The sequence below is a fragment of the Homo sapiens genome, chromosome 11, assembly GCF_000001405.40.
Source record: "Homo sapiens chromosome 11, GRCh38.p14 Primary Assembly".
Taxonomy (NCBI): Eukaryota; Metazoa; Chordata; class Mammalia; order Primates; family Hominidae; genus Homo; species Homo sapiens.
In genome coordinates this window covers 111419059-111433292 of record NC_000011.10, presented here as the reverse complement: position 1 = coordinate 111433292, position 14234 = coordinate 111419059, and the positions used below count along the sequence as shown (strand labels likewise).

Genomic DNA, 14234 nt, shown 5'->3' with positions numbered 1-14234 from the left:
TGTTTTTGTCAGGTTTGGACAAACTATTTCATGCCCCCACACCACAGTTGCTTCATTTGTAAGATCAGAAAATCAGATTGGATGATCTTTAAGGTCTCTTCCATCTTTGTTGTACATTTTATGACTGTTTAGTGTATTTTATATTGCGCCCATTGCAAACAATAGATGCTGGTTTACTAATGAATTCTGGCCACTATCTCCTTCTTGTCTTACCTCCAAGTCAGAGTCTGCCTGGCTTGGCCCAGTTAAGATGACAAGGGCTTCTACAACTACTTCCAGGGGAGACAGATATATTACTTGAGGCCAGGCATGGTGGCTTATGCCTGTAATACCAGCACTTTGGGAGGTGGAGGTGGAAGGATTGCTTGAGCTCAGGAGTTTGAGACCAGCCTGGGCAACATACTGAGACCTTGTCTCTACAAAAAAGAAAAAAAAAAGATATATTACTTAAGAAGTAGAAATAGTAAGATCTGGTTTCTGAGGAAGATGAAGGTTTAATTTTTTCACACAGTGTAAAGCAATTCAAAATATTTCATTAGCTCTGTTCTGTGCCACCAAACATATTTGTTTCCCTTCTATCTGGCAGAACAAAACTTTATTTGACCTGCTAGTTTCTCTCATGTCTGTTATTTTCTTTCTTTATTTTTTTGAGATGGAGCTTTGCTCTGTTGCCCAGGCTGGAGTGCAACAGCGTGGTCTCAGCTCACTGCAACCTCTGCCTCCTGGGTTCTACAGATTCTCCTGCCTCAGCCTCCCAAGTAGCTGGGATTACAGGCACCCACCACCATGCCCAGCTAACTTTTGTATTTTTAGTAGAGATGGGGTTTCACCATGCTGGCCAGGCTGGTCTCGAACTCCTGACCTCAGGTGATCTACCCACCTCGACTTCCCAAAGTGTTGGGATTACAGGCATGAGACACTGTGCTTGGCCTGTTATTTTCTTTAAATATTACTTAATTGTTGGATTGTAATTCTGCTTGCTGTGTGTTTGTTTGGTACCCATAGCCCATGTTTAAGTGATCCGGGAGGCAGGGACCAGGATCCAACTCCTTCACGTGGCTCCACAGCGAAATACCCTGCCTATCAGCATTCTCTGAGAGTGTCAGCTACCTGAGGGCAGGGCTCTAGCTGTGCTTTCTCCTTTCTCTCTAGCTCCAGGAACACACATTAAGACTCAGTAAATGTTTGTTGAATGAATCAAATGTCAAAGGAATCAATAGTAGGTACTCATAAGTGCTTACTGATTTGCACTGATGTGCTGGTGTGCTCTAACTATTTTTTTGTAATTCTGACCTTCCTGACAGTCTCTTTGGCTCTAGCTTTGTTTCCTGATATTTAGTTCTCTGGCTTCTACCCTGATTCCATGTCTGTATCCTCCACTGGGAATCCCAACCAAGCATCGTGACAGCATCTACTACTTTCATTCTGGAGGCTGTCAAGTATGTGTCCCCAGCTCTGCAAGTTGCTAGAGTTCAGTTCTTACATCTCTGATTGGGTGCTGGAAGAAAACGTAGAGGTCATCTAATTAGATCCCTTAGCTAAACTTCCCATGCTTGTCCTCCACTCTGGTCATTTCCTACACAGGACAGCCCATTTCACTGTGGTCCAGCCCCGGGGGTTGTCCTCCATCCCTCCTCTTGTCTAGATGCTAAGCCTCTGCACAGGATGGGCCGTATATTATGTGAATCAGTTAACTTCTGTTGATTAAACAGTGAATATTTGAGAATATGAAAAGCTTGAATATTGAACTTAGGTGGGAGGTATTATTCCCTAAGTAGGTTTTGGAGGGGCCTCTTGGTTGGAATCAAAATGCTCTGTGTTCAAATTCCAATTCTATCATTTACTGGCTATGCCCCTTTAGGAAAGTTACTTCTCTGAGTCTCAATTCCCTGATCTATGAAGCGGTAATAATGGCAGTGCCTACATCATAGGCTTGCTATGAAGATTCATGAGATACTGTAAATTCAGTGCTTAGAACAGTGCCTGACACATCAAGGGCTCCAAAAAAGGGAGTTATCATTATGTTTATTAGGCTAATATTAATACTGAGCCTGGGGTTCTAGACCAGCCACAAAGCAATGTGTTGACCTGAACCCCCATCCTTCAATTCACCTCTCAATACAATACTGAACAATATAGCCCTCCTTTACTGCCTGGGTTAAGGTACACAAATATGTTCTGCCTTCAGATAAGTCCTTTAATTTCTGCTTTTGAATATCAAACCCTTTCGTCACTGACTGAGGCACTATGGGGGCATAGAAGAGAACAAAATTAGTCACTGTATGTGAGACCATGCTGAGCTGCTTTTGTATACGTGGTGACTGCCTTCTTTTAATCTGGTAAAAAGAAAAGGCTGGTATGTATAAATGAATTAGAGGCAATATTAGCTCCGTATGTGAAGGGTTGCATTGTGATGTGAAAACTCAATTGAGAGGCACTTTAATCTGGGGTTAAGAGGTTTTGGCATCAAAACAACCAAGATTCTAATGTTGATTCTGCCATTTAGTGGCTGTGTGACTTTGAGGAAGTTATTCAACCTTTCTGGGTCTCAGTTTCCTCATCTGGGTTCTTTTGGTGAGGACAAAATGAAGTCATATGCTAACAATTGTTTGACACAGGAAAATAAATCTTGGGACCCCCCAAATCCCTAAGCCAAGGGAAAAGTCAAGATGGTAATGGTGTCCGTGTGGTCAGGCTAACCTACCTCCCATTTTATTCCTAAATAAGGTAGCTAAAAGGTAAGAAGATACTTACCCTCCTTACAATTTGCCTACAAGGAAATTGCTTGTGGACAAAGGACAGACAGAATTCAGTCATCCCTCTGAGGCTTGCCTGAGACAAATGCATATCTGATTACTTCCTCTGCCCTAGTGTTTACATAAAAATGCAGATTCACTAAGCCAAACTAAATTGTGTATTCAGTGGAAGGCTAGTCAAGGATTCAAAAGAATGCAACCTTTTGTCTTTTATCTACTTCTAACCTGGTAGGCTCCACTTTTGAGTTGTCCCACCTTACTGGACCAAACCAATGTACAGCTTACATATATCAATTGATGTCTCATGTCTCTCTAAAATGTATAAAAGCAAGCTGTACCCTGGCAACCTTGGGCACGTGTCGTCAGGACTTCCTGAGGCTGTATCATGGTTGTTTCTTAACCTTGGCAAAATAAACTTTCTGAATTGACTGTGACCTATCTCCGATATTTTGGGTTAACAACACATGACAATGCACCATAAGCGTTTACTATTATGATGTGCTTGCTGTGTTCAGCAGAAAGAGCTCACTGAGGCCTGTACTAATCAGAAGAGATAGGATTTAAGTACACTAAGACAAGGGAAAAACAAAACAAAAAACACCAACAACAATAACACAGACTCAGGAAAGCCTCTGGAGTGTTAAGGATGGTGGGATGTACAGCAGGACTTGAAGAAAGTGTATAACCTTGGAAGATATGAGAAAGCAGGTGGGATCAGCAGCAGAAGAATTGAAGTGGGGGAGTTGCCCCTTTACGTTCTCCATTTTGTCTAGGAGTGTGCTTTGCTCAACAAATGCTTAGCAGTTGCTACAGAACTTCTTGGCCTAATTGTGTGGCCCCGTTTCTCTTATAGCTAATGAGTTTTGGGAGTTTACTACCTTTTTGTATTCTTCACTGAATTTCCTAAAACTATCTGATTCAAAGCTCCAGAAATGTCCCTTTTCCTATTAGTTTTAGATCTGCTCAACAAGTCCAGGGATACCTTATCTGTTTACCAATTATAAACCCCTGTTTATGCCTGAGAAGATACAAAGCATCTTTCTTCTTGGCTTTTACCTTTACCTTCTAGGTACAAATGTCTGTCTCATTTTGGAATCAGCCTGATTTCATCAGTTGCTACGTGACCTTGAGCAGGCTGCTTAACCTCCCTTGTTCCATTTCCTCATGTGTAAAATTTGAGTAACGTGCCAGTTACCCATTTATTGCCTCTCAGTTCCGAGTTCATCTTTTGGGACCTGCCCTGCAATACTGACTGGTCTCTCAAGATGTCTCCTTTCTACCGAGAGAGCGTGATGTTAAGCTTTGTCAGTAGGGGGCGCCTCCCTCAAAAGTAGGTTTTTGTGAGTAACTGTTTCTTGGGTACTGGGTATTTTGAAATGTCCCGGAATTAGATAGTGGTGATGGTTGCACAACATTGGAACTATCCTGGAAGTCACTCACTTGTACACTTTAAAATGGCTAAAATGGCAAATTTTAAGTCATATAGATTTTTACCTCAATTTAAGAAAAGTAAGTTGTGAGGATGGGACAAATTCGTGAATGGGGAGAGCTCAGAACGATGTTTGGAACATACATAGTGAGTGGTCTGTAAATATTACGGGTGATTGCACATTCGCTTAATTATTTAGCTAGCGGTCTATCACTGGCCTTCCTTTTCCTGGAGCTAATGAGACCCTCACACTGTATTCCTGGTTACCACGAACCTGAGGCAGCCATGAAGCTGAAGAGCCTTGCAGAAATTCCTGCCTCTCACACTGGTAGACCCTGGTAGCCTGTTCCAGGAGTGGGAGTGGAATGAATGCCTGCACCCCCACTTCCCCTGAATGGCTCCAAACAGCAGATAGTCAGGGGCTGAGTAACTCTGCGTAGAGAAGTTCAGAGATAGGACCTAACATTGAGCTTTGTGTCCTAGGGCTCAGGTCCCCTGGGCTAGAATTTAATTTGGATCAGGAAGAACCTGTTGATACCTGATTGTTTTTCTCCCCAGGTCCGCTGTCAGTCTGCTCCCCTGGGGAGATGACTGTGTGGCCCAATGCCATAGTCCCCAGGCATTGGCAAAAGGAAGAGGTCCCTGACTGGAGGCTCTGCACAACTCTGTAGGTCAGCAGGGCTTGCTGAGGATTGCAGGACAGAGATGCAAGGAAAAGCAGCAGAAACAATACAGTGGGGTTTGAAGAAATCTGGAGGGACTGAATTGGGGGACTTTTCTTTGTGACGTCATCATAGAGAAGGGTGTAGGGTCTTAAAAGGGAACTCAGTTCCTTCATCTTCTTCCTCTTCCCCTTCCATCTTTGTGATAATCCTTGTCATCTCACAGTCTAGAAGACCAGTATTTCCATTCTATACTCTACCAAATCCCAGATATTTCAGGACAGGCCTAACTCAGAAATTTTCTGTCCTGACGTCTCCATACTTACCTATGCACTTTTTGGACCATTTATCCTAGCTCTTGGCGAGGAAAATACGGCCATTAGTCAAATCCTCCTCCCTATAACTTCATCCTTGCTTTGTCACAGCTGCTTGCCGGGGGCTTGTCGGCAAGCAGGAAGGGAGAATGCCACCGCCTTGGGCTGCCTCCCCACAGAGCTGTATGTGTCCTCAGTCTAATGTTCGGGGTGGGGGGAACCAAAAGCCTGTGCCTTGTGATGTGACGCCTCTGTCACTCTATTGTCATATTCTATGAAGTCAACCCAGGAAGGCTCAGGTAGCAAATGCCTGTGCAGAAAGTCAGGGAAGTCAGCTGCTTGCTTTCAGGGACCACATTTGACTGACCCCTCCCCTTGGGGTAGCTGCAGCTTCTGGGTGGCATTGGTTTTGGGGTCCCCGAGCTGCCAGAGTATCCCTCTAAAGACTCCCCTGAGACCTCCCCTCAGACACAGTTACCAAACATGTTTTTCATCTTTATTAATCTGCTCCTCTTCTCACGTTTCTCAGGTCACAGCTGCCTTGTTATCTGATGGGCTTTCTGCCAGCCCCATGAAGCCTGACAGTTATAAAGGGTGGATTAGCGGCAGAAGAATATTTATTAGGAAAAAAAATCTCTTTTTATTCTTCTGTTGTTTTATATGGAGTTGGCCACATATTGCCTGGGTGAGATCAGAGCGGTCCTTTGAGAGCTGTGAGCAGAGGTCCCATGTCTGGGTGTTCGGCAGTGCTGGGTGAGCGGCCATGATTATTCTTGACCGCCATGGGCCCCTCTCTCTAGGCCTCTACCAAAGGGTCCTGCTCAATTTCACAGCTCAGAGAGGTCTGTGATGTGGCTGCCTTTTTCCAGAAAGAAGAGCATCTTATTGTGAATGGATCTCACCTTTCCTCTAGTCTCTAGAGCTGAGATGGGTAGAGAACTGATCCTTTCTTAATGATTTCAATTTAGTAGCTCCACTTTGCTGGGGTATATTTAACAGCATTATGAGAGAAAAGAGATGTTCCAATAGAAAATGGAGGCAGGCAGGGACTTTTTCTTACCCACTTATGAAGAAACTCTGTCACTGAGATCATTCTAGGTCTCTTCAAGGAAATAATATCCTTGTGGGGAGTTGATTTTCATTCTGTCTTTGTGACTTCAGTGGTGGGATTGTAAATCAATTGTGTTTGCAAAGACTGAGAAATGTTCTGATGGCGCTGGTGAGCTCCCAGGGAAGCTCCAGAAAACATGCTCTGCTAAGGCACATACACTTTGAGTAAACTCCGGGGTGATATTAACTTTCCCACACCGGCCTGGGAGCTGGCTGTGCCAAACCTGCCCGGGCCTGCCTGCCTCTGATGCAGTGTGATACAGGGGCGTGGTAAGGGGAGTGTAGGTGAAGAAGCCTTGGGTGCTGGTGAAGAGGGTGACTTCTGATCTGGTCTTTCTCATCTAGTGGTGGTCATCATCTGGAATTCAGGCCGGCCTGGGCTCTGGTAGCAATGGGAAAACTGAGGAGTCAGGATCTCTGGAGCATGGAGGGAGAGTCACTGTGAGAGGAGAGCCCAAGGTGTGCTAGAACTATAAGGGAACACTACAGATTGAAACACCTTGTCCACCCACCACCGCTACAATGCAAACCCCTTTCCCTATCCCTGCCATATTTGCCATGCATATTTCTGCAGTACATTCTCTCTATTGTGTGTTCTCCTTTTCTTTTGCCAAAGAAAGTGTCTTTCCAAAGAGCTTTGGAGACACGGAGAGAGAACCATGGGTGCTAGAGTCTTCTGCCAGGAGGATCTATACAATGTGTAGATACAACCACTCTCAATCCAGTCCTCCTTTCCATTTTTTTTTCATTTCCCTTCCCTTCCTCTGTCACTGCTTTCATGGTTTCTTGGCAATTCTCACCTCTCTCTGGCTGGACCACCCACTTTCTCATTGTGGGAAGACACTGAGCATACCCCACATGAACTCATCACCCTCCTCCTTGTCCCGCTGTGCTCCTCTTGACACCCTGGTTTTTGGATAATGATGCCAACATTCTGTAAATCACCTAGGCACTAGAGCCCAGGTCAGTTTCTCCTTTTTTTTCTTTCTTTGAGACGAGGTCTGGCTCTGTCATCCAGGCTGCAGTGCAGTGGCGCAATCTCGGCTCACTGAATCCTCAACTTCCAGGGCTCACGTGATCCTCCCACCTCAGCCTCCCGAGTAGCTGGGACTGCAGGTGTGTGCCACCATGCCCAGCTATTTTTAAATTTTTTGTAGAGATGGGGTGTCACTATGTTACCCAGGCTAGTCTCAAACTGTTGAGCTCAAGCGATCTTCCCACCTTGGCCTCCCAAAGAGCTGCGATTATAGGCGTCAGCCACTGTGCCCGCCCTCAGATCCATTTCGATGCTTTTCTTGCCCTTGCTAGTTCCCAGATTGAGTGTAGTCTGCTTGGTTAGTATCTCTTGCATTCATACCCTATTTTTCTTCCTACCTACTGCTCTGATTTTGGTAATTATCTCTCATCTGGGTTACTACAGTAGTTTCTTAACTGAAATTTCAATATTTCCCGTCTTTCTTCTTAAGTTTTTCTTCTACTATCGGGCCAGATAAATCTTCTAAAAGGCGCTGATCATAACCTTGCAGCATTAAAAACTGTCATTAACTCTCCATTGCTAACCCCCAAGTCCCCAGGCTCCTTAAATGGTCAGCACTGGGGGCTCTCCAGTCTTCTTTTTCGACTGTATCCTTGGAGGGACTATGAGCTCCATGAGGCCAGGGCTCCTGTGTCTTTTGTGTATGTGTTTATCTCCATGATCAGCATGGAGCCTGCCTATGGTACAGAGTGCCTGGCATGCAGCAGGGCCTCAACAACACCTGTGAACCCCCTACCCAGAAATGCTGCCACTGTCTTCCAGGAATCCTTACTGCTTCTAAAAAATACCCTTCATTTTTCCTACCTCCTCCTTTGCACACGTTCTGCCTGGAATGCATGCCCCATGATAAAAGTTTGTTCCACACCTACCCATTTTCCCAGGTCCAGCCCAAATGGCGCCTTCCTTCATGTAGCCCTCTATGATTGTACAGAAGGACCTGCTCATCCGCTTTCTAAACTGCCATGGCAGTTTGTCCCCTCTCATGGCCCTTGACATCACATCTCTTCTCTAGTAAGGTTTGAGCTACTTGGGGACCGGGCTTGTTTTTATTAATCTTTTAAAGTACCTAATACAGCCTGGCTCACTGCAATCTCTATCTCCCAGGTTGCAGTGATTCTCCTGCATCAGCCTCTTGAGTAAGCTGGGATTACAGGCACCTGCCACCACGCCTGGCTAATTTTTGTATTTTCAGTAGAGACGGGGTTTCACCATATTGGTCAGGCTGGTCTCGAACTCTTGACCTCAGGTGATCTACCCACCTCGGGCTCTCAAAGTGTTGGGATTACAGGCGTCAGCCACTACATCTGGCCTAATTTTATTGAATTAATAAACAAATGCTTAAGTGACCGTAAATCTTTTATCTGCAGGCTTGGTTTATTAATAACCACATAACCTTACCACTTAATGATGATGAATGACTTTGAGGCCAGTTAGCATTCAGTTTATTGGCCTCAAATAAATGAATTATTTGGGTGGATTAACCAACTGTAATAAATGTGAACAAATTAGCACTGTCATCTTACAGCAAAAATTATATTGAGGTGAATTCCATGCCAAGTTGTGGGGCAGGACGCCCAGCATTTTCGCGTTAACTCATCATCTCCTTTCTCACCCCATGGTGTTCCTCTTGACTCCTTTGTTTTTAGATAGTGACACCAACATTTTGTAAGTCATCCAGCTCTAGAGCCCAGGCTAGTTTCCTTGCTTTCCTTGCCCTTGCTGCTTCCCAAATTGAGCATCATCTATCCGTGTCACTCTCAGTATCCTGGGGCACTGGATTGTATCGACTTGGGCTGTGGATGGGAGATGCCCTAAAGATGAACCTGTGAGGGCCTTTAGTGTTTCTCTAGCTAAGAGCTCTCTGAAGAACATGTTTCTTGCGATGGGCAGGATGGGAGAGGCTGGTCAAGCCTCTGAGCCTGTGCTCATTTCCCTTCACCTATTTTGCTCCTCCATGAGGCTTCTGTCACCACTGGTGGTGGTGGTTCTAAGGCTGTGGTGACCTGGGGAGGGTCTCTGTGGTGACTTAGCACCTGGGGAGGGAGAGGTCTGGCTTTCTCGGCCTCCTCTTCTGGCAGGGCCCTGAAAGGAGCTCAGGCCTCGGAGATTTCCTGGTTCCAATGTCCTTTCGTCTTAACAGTCCTCAGCTCACAGCTCCTCCAGAAAGTGGTCTTTATGTGTAAGGAGCTGAGTTTTCATCCTGGCATGTCTCTCATCTTTCTATGCCTTAATTTCCTCATCTGATGGTGATATCTATTTTTTGAGGGTGGTGGCATTGTTTTTGTGTATTAAATGAATGTCATATACTTTGAGAACCAAGCATGTTATATTATTATTTATTGTCATTGATATCGACAGGTCCTTTGGAAGTTGTCAGCTTGGGCTCAGCTGCCTGTGGTGTAAGGGTGGGCAAGGTGTCTAAGAATTCCTTTGGGGAGGGGTAGGCCAGCTCTCTGGGAGGTAGTTAGTAGGAATGCTTAACTGAATGGTTTGGTGCACATGATGCTTTGAGATCGGTGCAGTGGGGACCTTGGAACACATGCCATTAGTCTGGCCCAGGCTGGGCTAAGGGCCTGTCCTGGGAGTTATTTCAAGTTTTGACAATGGAGATATGGCACTGATGTAAAAGGATTTGATTCTTAGGATCTTCCAGATAATGCTGCCCTTATTTGGGAGCAGTGGATTGGGGGAGAGTTGGAAGATGTTCCCAGAATCTAATTTCTAGGGGAGAGAGTGCCTCATTCGGTCTCCCGGGCCCGCCACCACAGCGAGCTCTCAGTAGGGGGAGCTCTGTCACTGCGGTGGCCCTTCTTGCTGACTCGGGGTGGAGGGGCTATCTAGGCACCTGAGGAAGGCTTAGGAGTGGCCAACAGGGGTCTCTTCTGCAGGAGGAACCTGAGGTGTCTGCTGAGGAGCAGCCAGGTCAGGAGTCACTGGCTACAGGGTCCCCACCTGGAAAAGAAATGGAAATGCACTGTGTCCAGTGCATGGGGGAGAAAATGCACCAATGTCCTGACACAGGGAGTCTCACTAAGGTGGGGGAAAACAGAGAGGTGTGCAGCCTTACTAAGACCAAAGCTGCCACAGCACCTGCTTTATAGTCTATAGAATCCAAAACTGCCCTCCCTCTCCACCCACAGCTGCTTTTGGGGATTGGCTGCCAGCTGGGGATGGGGGAGGCCAAGACAGAACTTGGAGTTCCTGAGTGTGTCCTATGGGTGTCTCGTGTCCATTCTTATTGAGCAGGGGAGGGACCTTGTCCTGTTTCTGGCCTCGGGAGTCACCCTGTCCTGTCCCTGGCTGATCCTCTGCACCTGAGGCACAAAGGTTCTATATAGGAGTGTTTCCACGTGGTGATTCAGGTTAACTGTCTTCCTGTGCACTTGATGCCCAGGCTCGGTCTGGGAAGAGAGGACAAAAAGGTCAAAGGACACATCCTTCTATTCCAGCCTGCGCTTGGTGGCCATGTGAGCATTAGGGCGATGAAGGCCTGTGTGCACATGCATTTCCAGGACTCTTGGGGTGGCAGGGTGGGGTGAGCACTGTGAATGTCCATCTTGAGTGTCCAGCAGGAGGGCACCTGGGTGGTCTCAGAGGCCACGTACAGCAGCCATTTCTCATGAGCATGAGAGGAAGTCCAGCAGAAGTGTGTCAGTGTGGTCTTTTTCAGAACCACTCTGCCCTTACTGGGGACCTCTATGATCAATTTTTGTGCCTTGAATATTTAGGTTGAGATTGAGCTTGGTGCACGGTTGGCTCAGAGCTGGAGGAACGATTTGCTGGGGCTCCCTTGTGAAGGTCGCTGAGACCAGAAGACCCTCCCCTGCATCCTTTTGTTTTGGGATAAAAAAACAGACTGGCTTGAAGCAGTTTAGGAGAATCCTATTGGAATGATAGATTAGAGATTCTCTCTTGGTGCATAGAGAAGGGACTGTTTTCCTGAGTTTCAGAGATAGGGAGAGGTTGACTTGCTCTCCAGCAACTTCTGGGCCCTTTTGATTCCCGTGAGCTTGGTCTCAATGGTATCACGAAAAATTGCTGTGACCTGCCATGCCTTCTGCCTTTTTTTTTGTCTGATGGAGTCTCACTCTGTTGCCCAGGCTGGAGTGCAGTGGCATGATCTTGGCTCACTGCAACCTCTGCTGCCCTGGTTCAAGCGATTCTCTTGCCTCAGCCTCCTGAGTAGCTGGGATTGCAGGCCCCTGTCACCATGCCTGGCTAATTTTTGTATTTTTAGTAGAGATGGGGTTTCACCCTCTTGACCAGGCTGGTCTTGAACTCCTGACCTTGTGATCTACCTGCCTCAGCCTCCCAAAGTGCTGGGATTACAGGTGTGAGCCACCACGCCCAGCCGCCTTCTACTTTTTGTAAGCCTTAGTTTATAGTGTTGCTGGGGAAGTTAGCCCCATTTTCTCTTTCCTGCAAGCTGGGCAGGTCTATGCCTCTAAGGTGCAGACATCAGTTAATTGGTAGCCAGATGGGAGCCCACAGGGACATCCTGCCCTTCGGGAAACACACGTGCAAACCTAAATTTTGTCTTTGCAAATCGGTTGACTAGCTGTGCTTGCTAGAAGCAAAGTAGCTCTCATGAATTATCCAGTTTGGAGTTTTTCAGATCATGATGAACTCAGACACAAAGCCAGGTCTCCTCCTTTGTATGGAGGCAACATTAGGTAAAGGGGAGGGCTGAATGCTCAGGTCAGCATAGCTAATTATGCCATCTCATCCTCCCCCAAGCCCTTCTATGGCTCTGGCTGCTCTTAGAGATAAAAACCCTTTAGATAGTCTACGAGGCCCTATATGAGGTGCCCTCTCTGAGAGCTAGGCTCTTGAGATCCATTGCACACCAATCTCTGGACTCCAGCCACTTGGGACCTTGGTTCCTTGATTCTGTCACGCTCTCTCCAGCCTTAAGGCCTTTGCATAAGTTACTCCTTTTTCCTGGCATGTTCTTTCCCATCCCTATCCCATCCTTTTTTCTAGGTAATTTACTCTCACCTTTTAGGGACTAGCCTAGGTGTCCCTTTCCCAAAGGAGCCTTCTGGGACCTCCAAGATTGTGTTCCATCATGTACTCTCAAAGTCCTTGGTAGCACTTATTACAATTATTAGTGTTTTGAATTGTATAATTGATTCATTTTTCTCTGCTAGAATGTAAGCTTCATGAGGGTAAGGCCTGTTAGTTTATTTTTTTATCCTGTCAACCACTCAGCATAATGCTTGGCACAAATTAGGTGCTCAATAAAAATGTGTTGAATGAATGCATGAATGAACGGGGTCACCAGGTTGCTACTGCAATCCCTCTGGCATTCTACTAGACAAACTGTGTCTCAAACTGTTGAATGCTGTTTCTTGTTCTTACCCATTACAGGGGAGAACCACAGGTGGGCAAAGTAGCTCTACATACAGCTCCTGTGACTTTTGAGGCTTAACTCTTGTGAGATGATCATGGTCTCATCTCCCCCTGTTTTATCTCCCCCAGAGTCTCTGCTAAGGCAGAGTCCACACCCTACCATGCCCACTGCCTTCTTCCTCCTGATCCTTGGTCTTTTGGTCTTTGTGTAAAAAATGTGGCTTTCTCCAGGCAAAGCCCAGAATGCCACCTGGTCCAAGGAGGATTGTTGGCTATGATCTCCTCAGTTTCACTTCCAGAGCTGGCTGCTCAGATTGGTCTACCCTGCTGTGGATGCAATTTCAGGATGAGGTTGAAGAGCAGGTCATCTGGACTGCTGGGATGATTTTAAAGGAAACTTTAATATCTCCTGGACAAGCCAGCAGCTGGTGTCTGCAAGTCCTCCAGGACTTTGCACCTTGAGACTTGGATTCAGGGGCAGCTGAGAAGATAGACTGTGAACTTTCCTTTGCCGAGAGAACTGGACTACAGCTTAATGGCTGGACCCTAGGCATCTCTAGGACACTACAGTTGTCCATTGTAGATTCCTTTACCTCAAGCCACTTCTGGACCTGCCTGTCCTTGGGTGCCTGGTGCTGAGTCAGCAACACCTCCCTCCTGTCTTGGCAATGTGTGGCCAAACTAAGCCAAGTCTGATTATAATGGGTTGGTTCATCTAGAAGCTCACATCCCGTACTCTTTTTCCAATATGGCACTTAGCCAACTGGCACCCAATAGTGAAGAGTGACTCTGGGAACTGAGGCTGCTGAGGACTCATGACCCTGCAGAAGCCAACAGCAAAAGCTGTGTGGAGGGTGAAGCCATCCCGCTGCCAGGCCTCTCTCTCTGCTCCATGTCAGTTCCTGTCTGGCAGCGCCATGGCCTTGGCTGGCAGTCAGAGACCCGCTGCTGGTACTTGCTGGTGGCTTGGCTCTCTTCCATCTAGCCAGGGCATTTGGACCTTTTTTCTATGTTCTGCTTATGAGCTTGGGAAGCGAGCCAGTGGTTCTCCTTGGAAGTTGCCTCCATCCTTGTCATTTCCCACCCTAGTCCCAAGGGAGACATGTTTCTTTCTCTCTTCCGTATTGACACCTTCTCTTGCCTTTGGCTCAAATACAGACACCTCAGGTAGCACCAGTGCTGTGGGGAGGCCAAGGGGCGAGGGGCACGTACAGGAAGTGGTGGTGGCAAAATAGAGTTAAGTTCGGTTACCAGTGCTGGATGAAGCTTTGTATCTCTAGGGTTGTCAGTCAGCCAAGAAGGAAGGCAGTTACAGGCCTAATTCTTGGTTCCTGAACTGATTGGCTGTAGCTTTTATCAGGGACTCACTGGCACTTCTCTGAGCATCAGTGTTAACTTCTGTCATGGGCTGAATTGTGCAGCCTCCTTCTTCTCCTCCAAGTTTATAGGTTGACTTCCTAATCCCCAGTACCTCAGGATATGACTCTATTTGGAGATAAGGTCTTTAAGGAGGTTATTTAGGTAAAATGAGGTCATATGAGTAGGCCCTAATCCAATATGACTGGTGTCCTTATG

At 46.5% G+C, this 14234-nt stretch overlaps 1 protein-coding gene across 15 annotated transcripts in view; it reads left to right on the top strand.

Moving 5' to 3' along the window:
- The window catches only part of BTG4 (BTG anti-proliferation factor 4), a 130900-nt gene that overhangs the window by 81433 nt on the left and 35233 nt on the right, over positions 1 to 14234 (top strand). The gene's annotated exons all lie outside the window — the stretch shown is intronic.